A 12716-nucleotide genomic window follows, 5' to 3' on the forward strand; every position below is an offset into this window, starting at 1 on the left:
TCGGCCTTTTGAGAGGTAATTAGGTCATGAAGACAGCATCCTCATGAATGGGATTAGTGTCCTTATAAAATAGGCCCAAGGGAGCTCATTCACTTTGTCCACCATGTGAGAACACAGCGAGAGGGCACCATTTATGCACCAGGAAATGGGCCTTTTCCAGACAATCTGTCGGTGCCTGGATCTTGGACTTCACAGCCTCTAGAACTGTGAGAAATTAATTTGTTTTTTATAAGCCACCAAATCTATGGTTTTTTTTATAGAAACCGTAATGGACTAAAACACTCCCTAATTATATTTAAACTTATCAGTGCACTGGGCAGTGACATATTAAAAGAATGCTGGCCAACGTAATTGACACCATAAGGCTGGATGATTCTTGTAATTTTCAGCCTCAGAAAAAGGCTGGGGAGAGGAGTCAGGGGAAAGGAGGTGGTGTGTGTGTGTGTGTGTGTGTGTGTGTGTGTGTGTGTGGTACGGTGGATGCCTGCTGAGAGAGAAAGAGCTATAATAACATTCTGTGGTTCAGCTGACACATCCTTTCTGCATCCCCTCCAATCACCTGGGTTAATGGGGACCTCGCTAATGTCTGAACCTCATCTCATTTTAACCTTTTGTTTCAAAGCCTCTCTTTTCATGACTTCCCCGCCTTCATTTTTCCCATATGGTGGGGTTATTATTAAGACATTAAATGAGAGTGGACAGGTAGGCAAAGGAGGTGGGTTGCAGGGGAGTTGAGGGTTGCCTGTGTACTTTTCTAGACTGTTCCACTTCACATCAGTGAAATATTCCCAATTGATACTATCATGAAACAAAGCAAATGAAATGCTGAGCACGGAGCTTCGTCTTGATGAAATGCTGAAAGAAAAGAAAGGAAAAATAAAGTAGCCATTATTTTTGCCCTTCCTCCCACCCCCATGTTTACTACTCTTATTTCTCTTTTGTATTGTTGTGTTGGAAGCACAGCATCAGAAAAACTCCCAGTTTTGAGAGATAACTCAGTGTTTAGTTCACTTAAACCTGAGAAAGGAGAAGAGGATGCCACCGTGAGGTCCAGGACGTAAAGAGGAAAAAAACAGACAAAAAAATCCATATGAAATGAAAATGTGAAAGAGGCGCTTTCGAGCAGATGAGTGTTGTAGATTACAGTGTTGAGAGCTGTTTGTGTCCAGAGCTGCTTGCTGCACCTGGCGGGATAAACACTGGTCTAACAGAGGATCCTTGTTTCAAGGAGGCTGCCTTTTATTTGGGGGGACAAAATTGTTCTTGAAAGCTGCTCAGTGGTTCAAGCTACAGCATGGTGGACTAGCAGAATGGACTCCAGGGCCTCCGAGGAGACAGTGACTGCTGCCAGAAATAGTCAAGGATAGAAAGGAAGGACTTCACTGAGGCCTGGGAGAAGATTATGGAATGGGACTGACAGCAGTGACGGGGAGTAAAAGGGGGTGTCTGGGGGAATTGTGCCCCATGGTGAGAGCTAGAGGGTTCACAAAGACTTAACCCGACGCATCTCTCTCACCCTGGAGATTGGGCCCGTTCAATCTAACTGGATGGCTATAATTTAAAAGGTTTAGGTATTATGACAAACATGGATATATTAGGTGATAGCAATGCAAAATGCATATGGCTTCTTGATATAAAACACAAGACTTGAAAGCAGCATCTTTGGCTGGGTACTACAGCCACCCTCCTCTGTCACTAAGGGAGGCTTTGGTGGAAAGGGCTGAGAGCCTCTAGACTGTGAACAAAAGTAGGCACAGAAGAACAGTTGGAGATAATAAGTAAACCATCTTGACAGGAATGAAGAATTTCCTGAAAGGAAGGTCCCTGAGTTAGGTTGTTGGATGCTTTCAGTAGTGAGTTATTGAAAGTGTTTGGGGGGTGTGTGTGTGTGTGTGTATGTGCAGTATGTGTGTGTGTGAGAGAGAGAGACACACACAGAGAGAGGGGAAGATAACTTGTGCAAAGCAGGGTTTTAATAGAAATAATTTGGCAGTTTCCTAGAGGATAGTTTGATGATAAAAACCAGCCAGGCTAGAAACAGGAAACCAGCTGGAGACAATTGGTAGGGGACAATTTCAACGGTCTAAATGCAAGATGGCACCCAGACAAAGATGGCAGCTGACAGAATGGAAAAATAAAATGGAAGGTGTAACATTATGAATGACAGCAAACAGGAAGCAGGATTGGTTGGTAGGGATCAGGAAAAGGAGAGAGAATAAGAGAGAATGCTTGGTTTTGAGCCTGGGTGCTGAGGAGACTCAGTACAGATAAATCCCAATTGCACTCCCACCATATACCAGGCATATGGATAGGTCCTGGGCATCAGTGGTGATGACAGAGACAATGTCGCTATCTTTGCAGAACTTTCATTGTGCTGGAGGACAGGAAGCAGTCAGAGAGGCAGCAGAAACACCACAGCAAAGTAGGTCACAGAAACCCAAGAGTGAACAGTTTCGATTTATAGTTCTAAATAAATCATCATGGAAAATGAAAGTTAAAGGACATTGGAAAGCTGTTTATAATAAGAAAGAAGAATACCTAAACTCATAATAATAACCGTGACCATGCATTTGTTACTTTCTTACCGTAAGCCGGAAGTGCACTGTGTGCTTTGCACGCTGTATTAGTCAGGGTTCTTTGGTGAAACAGCACTGATAGAATTGATTGATTGCTTGATTAATTGGTTATGAGAATTGGCTCACACAATTACGGAGGCTGAGAAGGCTCAAGATCTGCTGCCTGCAACCTGGAGAACCAAGAAAGCGGTGGTGTAGATCAGTGTAAGTCTGAAGGCCTGAGAACCTGTGTGGGAGGGGACATCGGCATGGTATAAGTACTAGACAGGGTCTGGAGGCCCAAGAGCCAGTAGTGCTGATGTCCAAAGGCAGAAGAAGATGGACGTCCCAGCTCAAACAGAGAAGGAGAGAACTTACCCTTCTTCTTCCTTTTTTTTCCTCAACGAATTGGAGGATGCCTGCCCACATTGGTGAGGGCAGAGCTTCTATATTCAGTCTACTGATTAAAATGCTGAATCTTCTGAAAACACCCTCACAAGCACATTAAGAAGCAATATTTAACCATCTGTTTGGCTATCCCTTAGCCTTGTCAGGTTGACACATAAAATCAACCATCACATATGCCTTATCTCATTTAATTCTCTAATAACCCAATTAAGTAGGTAATATTAACTTCCTTGTTTTACTGGTGAAGACATTTGCCCAAGGTCAAAGAGCTAGGAAGTAGCATATCTGGGATCCAAATTCAGTCTATCTTATCTTAAAGCTGTTGTGAACTGACTTTAGCAAATAGGTCCATGCACAACTCTTGCATTCTTTTGGGTATATGATGGCACTGAGATGTTTAAGATGAATGAGAGTTAGATATGTCTTTAGATCTTGTTATCAAAAAAGCAATTCTCAGAAGAAATTCTGCCAAATACAGACTGTTCTTGAAACAAACATTCCTTTAAAAAGCAGGCCCAGGAGAGTTCATGAAACTGTGAGCTTGATGGATTCACCTCCTGATGAAATTCCCTAGAGGGAGAAGCAACAATATTCCAGAGGTAGGACTCTGATACCCTGAAGTCAGCATTAGGCAACCAGAAATCCTCCTAACCAGTAGCTGGTGGCAGAACTGTCTATGGATGGATCCACAGTGCAGATCCTATGGGCATGGCCACAGGCCTCACTAGATTCCTACTGCCTATTCAGCACAGGTGCGGAGCACTCTGACAATATTTCTGACAATATTTTACACAGTCACCAGACTTGAATACCTTGAATTTTACCATTGAGAGCCTTTTTTTTTTTTTTTTTTTTTTTTGAGACAGAGTTTTGCTCTTGTTGCCCAGGCTGGAGTGCAATGGTGCCATCTAGGCTCACTGCAATCTCCACCACCTGGGTTCAAGCGATTCTCCTGTCTCAGCTTCCAGAGTAGCCGGGATTACAGGCATGCACCACCACGCCAGGCTAATTTTGTATTTTTAGTAGAGACGGGGTTTCTCCATGTTGGTCAGGCTGGTCTCGAACTCCCGACCACAGGTGACCTGCCCGCCTCAGCCTCCCAAAATGCTGGAATTATAGGCGTGAGCCACCGCGCCCGGTCGAAAGCCTATTTCTGGTATTCATACTGACTAGCAAATCTCTTATATCAATCAAAATCCATTTGTGATGCTCACTATGCTAATTTTCAAAGCCTAAGGTGATGACTGAGATCTGAAGAGCTGAAGTCTTTCTGATGGAATACCAGCTGGCCACCTGTGGAGGTGAAGTTTCCATTTCAGCAACTTCATGCCTCTGGAGTTGAGGCTTCTACTAATACAAACTCATGATTCATTTCTCAGTGTTGAGGTATTTTAAAGTAAGTTATGGACATTGTAAAGTAAATCCATACTTTAAATGGTTATTCCATAAAACCTGTAATAGAGATTGTCCCTTTTAATTGATACAGATAAACTATAAAATACACATATTATTCTTTTTGACCAGGGAATCTTAAATTCATAGCACAAGCAGGATAATAATGGCTCAGAATGACCAACCTTCATTATGGGTAAGGTATGGTGCCAAGCGGTTAGATACATCTGTACCTTTAATCTTCAAAACAAACCCATAAGCCAGGCACCACTATCTCATGCTCATTTTAAAGAGAAGGAAAGTGAGTCTTTTGAGAGAGCAAGTAATTCACTACAGATCATATAGATAGGAACTGATAGGTAAGGGATCAGGGTATGGACCTCAAGGGTGGGGAGGCTTGAAAACCCTGAAATTAACCTCACAATGGTATGTATGTGGACATCCATTCTGTGCATGTTGTTTTGGCTGGGTGGTTGTGGTAAGATTCCTATGACTTTCACCAGATTCTTGAGCGCTTTCAACACCACTGTCTAAACAGGCTCCGTCAGAATCCAGATGCCTTGCCTGACAGCTGCCTGTCATAAGTCATCCTTATAATGGGGCCCAAGAAAGGATGTTTCATTTCCTCTTCTGCAGACAGACATATTGAACTGGGTCTTTTAATCTAAAAACACAGCAATATTGTCCTAATTTATGGAAAACATGTCAGGTTAGAAAAATCATAATAAATCAATTGATCCTTTGTATTTGTCATTTATTTTTCTGAATTTTTCAATTTAGAACAGGGCCCAAAGAGAAAAGGATGGCTCCACCCTGTGAAAAATAAAAGTAAAGGTCTTTTTCTTATTAGTTTGTTTAAGAAAAACAACTTTAAGGCATTTTCCTGATAACTCTCTTATAAGCCTTCAAGACTTGCAGGTAATTTCTAACTCTAGGGTCCTTTGCTATTTGAAAAAATAACCTACTCCCATATGGTCAGCACCAAAGGAAAAATGATCACGTTTCTTTTGTCTCTGGCATGGTTTTGACAGAAAAGATAATTCAAGTATCTTACAGGTGCTAAAGCAACCTAACAAAACAAAGGTAAAGTGAGTACAGAAAGTGGACATTTTTTTTTGAAATATTTTTCCTTCTATCTTCCTTCCAAGGCATCTTGAGTGTTAATGGAATAGTTTTCTTTTTGTACCAATTCTTGGTACAAAGAGAGTAGTTATTCTTGGGTATAACTACAAAATATATAGTTTTTCTTATCCCTTTTCTACTCAAGTGATACACATTTATCTTAAAAATTGCCTGAAATTTCTATAGGAAAGGGTATCTAAATTTTGCAATATGTTGAAACATATTTCACCTGCCCATGCCCAGAAATCCACCACTTTGGTGTCTGGCCCATACTTTAACAATTAGGCTAAAACAAACAAATGCCTGCGTGCACTTTGAGACCTGTCTGCCCCTTATATTAAGAGTTCCTGTGAGTACTGAGGCTTTGCTCAATATAACGTGAGGATTTGGTTACATCATGCAGAAATTGATGAAATTCCCACTATAATGCTTGGGTATGGAGAGTCGAGAAGTTTTTTTGGGTAACTATATCAGAACTCAGGGAGAAATTGGTGTGGAAATTGATTTTTCCAAAGCCTCAACATTTCAAACGCAAAACCTCTTTCACCTGGTTTCTTCTGGGGAAATAACAGTTGGGAGCTAATGAACGGGAAGAGATATCAGGAAACATAAGCTCCACGTTGGCCCTCATTTCACTTCCAGCACCAGTCCTGGTGAATGCTTAATCATGAAGCGGAGCATCTCGGAAAAGCCTCCTCTTAGGGTTAGGGGTTGCCAGTGTGCTATGGGGTCCCTTCCTGGAGGTTGTCATGGTCATATACTAATTTATTCCCATCTTCTTGCCTCATCCCTGAATCCTTAGAACCCATGTGTGAGCTGCAGCAAAGGGAGGTAATTCAGGCCAGAGATCAGTTAACAGGCACTGTAATATGAATGGCCCTCTCTTTCTTCAAACACCTAGTGCATTTACACTCCATGCTATGACTGCCTGCTTTTATTTCTCCACTAGTCCCCCCAACAAAATTGCAAATTCCACGAGAGGACAGAGTTTGTCTTGCATTTCTCTTTTGTGTTTTCGGCAACAAGGAGAGTGCTGTGTATACAGTGAACAATGAATATCAATGGATGAATACTTTCTTTTGATGTTGCAGAAGCTTTCATGGATAATGCGTTTTTTCACCCAGTAGATAGAAAGCTTTATGAAGATAGAAGCTGGGTATTAATCATTTTTCCACCTTGCAAGACATTCAGTTTCATTTATTGCTCAGTGTAGATGTTTAGTAATTGTCCCTGAAGAAACTGGATTACCCCCTGGACAGATTGAATTATCCTTAGAGATGATTCAGCGGATTGTCAATAAGTGGACCAAGTTGTGTGATGGCCTCATTAGAACAATTCATAATATTAGAAAATGGAGATAGGGTGGTATTTAGATTTTCTTTTTGGCATTGGAGAAGAATTTACTTGGCACGGTTTGATCACTCTTTCATCTTAGAAACACTTTCTTTGCTTGGCTTCTTTCTTTCTTTCTATGCCATCCTCTGGTGCTAGCTCCTTTCTGCTATGGTTTGACCCCATTAAAACTATGTTGAAATTTGATCCCTAATGTGGCAATGTTGGGAAAGGGGGCTAGTGAAAGGCCTGTGGATCCCTCATAAATACCTTGGTGCCATTCACTTGTTCACTCTGTAATGAGTGAGTTCTCACTCTCAGTAGACTTCATTAGTTTTCATGAGAGTGGGGTGTTAAAAAGTGAGGACATCTTTGGGTTTTGTTCCTTCACACACGTCTGCTTCTCTTTTGATGCTCTGCCATGCTGTGACACAGCATGAAAGTCCTCGCTAGAAACTGAGCCGAGGCAGGCACCAAGCTTCTTGTGCTTTCCAGCCTGTAGAACTATGAGCTAAACACACCCCTTTTCTTTAGATGTTATCCAGCCTCAGGTATTCTGTTACGGCAACACAAAAGAGACTAAGACAGAAAATTGGTACCGAGGAGTAGGATGTTGCTACACAGATATCTGAAAATGTGAAGTGGCTTTGCAACTGGGTCATGAGCAGAGGCTGGAAGAGTTCGAAGAAGCAGCTAGAAAAATACTATATTGCTATGAATTAAGCATTAAGGATGATTCTGGCGAGGGCTCAAAAAAATACAAAAAGATGAAGGAAAGTTTGGAAATTGTTAGAGATTTGTTAAGAGGTGGTAGCCAGAATGCTGATAGAAATATGGATAGTAAAGGTCATTCTTATGAACTCTTAGATGGAAATTAAGAACTTACTGGGAGCTGGAGTAAAAGGCATCCTTGTTATGCCATTGCAAAAAACTTGGCTACACTGTGTCCATGCCCTAGGACTCTGTGGAAAGCTGAACTTAAGAGTGATGGAATAGCATATCTGGTGGAAGAAATTTCTAAGCAGCAAAGTGCGTGGGCTGCTGAGTGCTTGCTTCTAACTGCTTACAGTGAATTACTAGAAAAAGGGAAACAGAGCAGAAAAAATTGGAAAATTCACAGCCTGGCCAAAATTCTGGTAGAGAATGAAAGAGCCCAAAGGTGAGGTGAGGCAGAGAAACCCCTTGCTAGAGAGATTAGCGTGGATAAACGGAAGCCAGGTGCTAAAAGAACAATGGGAAAAAGCAATGGGAAAAAGGTCCCCAACGCATTTCAAAGATCTTTAAGGTCGCCTCTTCCATCACAGACCCAGAGGTCTAAGTCTAAGATGACAGGTTGGTTTAGGGGAACAAGCCCAGGATGCTGTGTCTCTGTGCTGCCTGGGGACACTGGTCCCCACATTCTGGATGCTCCAGCCTTGGTTCATGTGGCCCCAGGTTTGACTCATGCCACTGCTCTGTAGAGAGCAAGCCCTGAGCCTTAGCAGCTTCCATGCGGCACTAATTCTACAGACATACAGAATGAAAGAGCAGTGGAGACGTGGCAGCTTCCTCCTAGATATTAGAGGATGTATCAGAAAGCCTGGGAGCCCAGACAGAAAATTGACACAGGGGCAGAGCCACTACAGGGAGTGCCTACCAAGGTTGGTGGAGCTATAAAGGCAGGGCTGCCCTCAAGACCCCAGAATTGTAGAGCTACTAGCAGCATGTAGTGCCTGCCTGGGAAAGCTACAGGTGTCTGATTTCAAGCCCTGGAGCACCCACATGGGCTCTGCCCAGCAAAACCATGGGGATGGGGCTGCTCAAGGTCTTGGGAGCCTACCCCTTTCACCAGTGTGCCTAGGAGGCAGCACCTGGAGCTTTAAGATTTAATGTTCGGTCTACTGGGCTTTGAACTTGTGTGGGACTTGTCATTCTTTTAGTTTGTCTGATTTTTTCCCCTTTGGAATGGGAATGTTTATCTTGGAAGTAAAAAACTTGTTTTTGATTTTACAGGCTCAGAGTTGGAAGGAGCTTGCCTTGAGTCTCAGATGAGACTTTGGACTTTAGACATTCTAGTTGATGCCGGAACAAGTTAAGACTTTTGGAGACTATTGGGAAGGGATAATTGTATTTTACAATGAGGAGGGCATAAGTTTTGTGGGGCCAGAGGTGGAATAATATGGTTTGGATATGGTTTGTTTATCCCCACCAGATCTCATATTGAAATTTGATCTCCACTGTGGCTGTGTTGGGAGTTGGGGTCTGGTGGGAGGTGTTTGGGTCATGGGAGGTGGATCCCTCATGAATGGCTTAGTACTGTTCTCAAGGTAGTGATTGAATTCCCACTCTTGGATTAGTTCTCTTGGGAATAGATTGTTTCCCTTTGAGGGTGGGTTGTTACAAAGTGAGGACACCTCTAAGTTTTGCCCCTTTCCTTTGACCTTCCACTGTTTCATGAGGAGCAGATGTTAGCACCATGCTCCTTGAACTTCCCAGCCTGTAGAACCATGAGCTATATAAATCTCTCTTTTTTTTTTTTTTCATTTTAAGTTCTTTTTTTTTTAATTATACTTTAAGTTTTAGGGTACATGTGCACAATGTGCAGGTTAATTACATATGTATACATGTGCCATGCTGGTGTGCTGCACCCATTAACTCATCATTTAGCGTTAGGTATATCTCCTAATGCTATCCCTCCCCCTTCCCCCCATCCCACAACAGTCCCCAGAGTGTGATGTTCCCCTTCCTGTGTCCATGTGTTCTCATTGTTCATTTCCCACCTATGAGTGAGAACATGCAGTGTTTGGTTTTTTGTCCCTGTGATAGTTTACTGAGAATGATGATTTCCAATTTCATCCATGTCCCTACAAAGGACATGAACTCATCATTTTTTATGGCTGCATAGTATTCCATAGTGTATATGTGCCACATTTTCTTAATCCAGTCTATCATTGTTGGACATTTGGATTGGTTCCAAGTCTTTGCTATTGTGAATAGTGCCGCAGTAAACATACGTGTACATGTGTCTTTATAGCAGCATGATTTATAGTCCTTTGGGTATATACCCAGTAATGGGATGGCTGGGTCAAATGGTATTTCTAGTTCTAGATCCCTGAGGAATCGCCACACTGTCTTCCACAATGGTTGAACTAGTTTACAGTCCCACCAACAGTGTAAAAGTGTTCCTGTTTCTCCACATCCTCTCCAGCACCTGTTCTTTCCTGACTTTTTAATTATTGTCATTCTAACTGGTGTGAGATGGTATCTCATTGTGGTTTTGATTTGCATTTCTCTGATGGCCAGTGATGGTGAGCATTTTTTCCTGTGTTTTTTGGCTGCATAAGTGTCTTCTTTTGAGAAGTGTCTGTTCATGTCCTTCGCCCACTTTTTGATGGGGTTGTTTGTTTTTTTCTTGTAAATTTGTTTGAGTTCATTGTAGATTCCGGATATTAGCCCTTTGTCAGATGAGTAGGTTGAGAAAATTTTCTCCCATTTTGTAGGTTGCCTTTTCACTCTGATGGTAGTTTCTTTTGCTGTGCAGAAGCTCCTTAGTTTAATTAGATCCCATTTGTCAATTTTGGCTTTTGTTGCCCCTGCTTTTGGTGTTTTAGACATGAAGTCCTTGCCCATGCCTATGTCCTGAATGGTAATGCCTAGGTTTTCTTCTAGGGTTTTTATTGTTTTAGGTCTAATAAATCTCTTTTTTAAGAAATAAATTTATAAATAGAATACCCAGCTTCAGGTATTCTGTTATAGCAACACAAAATAGACTAAGACACTCTCCAACCTCCTAATTATGGAGAGCTCAGGCTTGCTGCACAAGTCTCTTGCACATCTCCAGATACCTGAGTGATCTTCCTCACATTTAATAATTTCTAAAATTTGTCTTCTCCAAAGGAGATCCCTTTCTTAACCTCCAGACTAAAATATCACATTGCCCTCATCCCTACTTAATGTGTCCAAAACAAAACCTCTGATTCTCCATCCACACAATCACTTTCTCCCTTAGTGGGCCCATCTCAGTAAGTGGTAACTCTGTTCTAATTGCTCAGGATGAAACCCTGGCATCAACATTGACTCCTCTTCTCTCATACTGCACATTCCATTCTTAGCAAATCCTGTCAGTTTTACCTTCGAAAAATTATTTTTAAGATCTGACCATTCTCACCACCCCCACTGCCCAATGCCATTCTAAACTTCCACCATCACTGCAGCATAAAGCTCCATGAGGGCAGAGGGCTTTGTCTGTTTTGCTCATTGCTATGTTCTCAGCTCTCAGCACATAGTAGGTGCTCAGTTGCTATTTAATAAGTAACCTCTCACCTAGATTATTGCAGTAATCCCCTAGCTCGGGGTTTCTTGGCCTCAGCACATTTGACATTTGGGGCCAGATAATTCTTCATTGTGGTGGGCTGTCCTGTGCATTCTAAGATGTTCAGCAGCATCCCTGGGCTCTGCTCACTACATGCCAATAGCATCCTCCACTCCTGAGGTGCAACAACCAAAATGTCCCCAGACATTGACAAATGTCCACTAAGGGGCAGAAACACCACCATGGCTGATCTTCTACTTTCCATGCTCCTGCTCACACTGTCTCTGTGCTGGTGTAGAGCAAGGCTCTACACATGTAAGTCAATCTGTGGCTTGTCATTGACTCAGAGTAAAATCCTTACAGTGCCTGTAAGACCTCTCTCTTCTCTCACCTTATCCCTCCCCACTGCTCCTCTGTCTCAGGCCCACTCCCTGCTCATCCTCTGCACACATCAGGAAGCCCCAGTGCTTCCACACTTGCTGTCCCTTATGCCAGAAACACCTTACTTCTGGACACCCACATGGAACTTCTCAGGCCAGCTCTACTTGCCACCCTCCTCCTGTAACACATCATCCTCCTCCTCCTCCCCTCTGCACTCCACAATCCCCTACCTTGCTTCTGTTTCTCCATAGCACTGACCACCTCTTAACAGACAAATGAGCCTAGGATGGTGCCTTGCAGGGCACAGACTCACAAAACGTCTGTCTAGTGTGTGGTAAATGGACAGTGGGTGTATACAGAAGGCTTCACTGGCCTCCATCCTCTGTCTTTGGCTATCTCTGAATTCGTATCAAGTCACAGTTGGGCCTATTTCCTCCTGACACTGAATGTATGAACAGAACTCAACAAATGGTATAAAACAAACCAACATAAACAACCAAATGCCTCACATGGACCTCCCAGAAACCAGCTTGGATGCGTCCTCTTTGTGTGTCAGGCTTGGGGCTCAGTTTGGTGTTTGCAGCAGAGCCTAGTGATCAGGGCTTAGAGTTTGAAGTTGAATTGCCTGGGTGCAAACCCTGACTTCCTCACTTATCCCCATGTGCCCACGGGAAGTTACATTTCCCATTTGGGCTTCATGTTCTCATCTGTAAAATGGGATAATAATACGGCAGAATTCTCAGGGCTACTGTGAGGATTGAGAGAATTATACTGGAAAAGTGCTTAGGCCTGCAGTAAGGCCTGAGTCTGTCTGTTGTTAGTATTATTACTAGCCATGTATATATGCTGTCTTCACGAGGATTTGGTGCCTGGTGATATGATGAAGCTTTGAAAGTTCCTGCAATACATTCATTCCTCATTTATTGAAAGCCTACTATGTGCCACACTCTGTTCCAGGGACTGGGAATATGGGTTAAGAAGGACAAATAGGAACTTACATTCTTTTTTGAGGATACAGACGGTATACAAATAAGCAAAAAATTATCAGGTCATGGTAAGTGCTGTGATAAAAATGGGTGATGAGATGGAGCAGAAAAGGGAAGGGGGTTGTTTTAGGTTTCATGGTCAGTAAAAGCTGTTCCGAAAGGCCACTTTTCAGCCATGACCTGAGTGACAAGAGGGCAACAGCCAGGCAAACACCTGCAGCAAGAATTTTTCAGGCCCGGTACTCAGTG

This window comes from Homo sapiens, chromosome 13 (assembly GCF_000001405.40).
Source record: "Homo sapiens chromosome 13, GRCh38.p14 Primary Assembly".
Classification (NCBI taxonomy): Eukaryota; Metazoa; Chordata; class Mammalia; order Primates; family Hominidae; genus Homo; species Homo sapiens.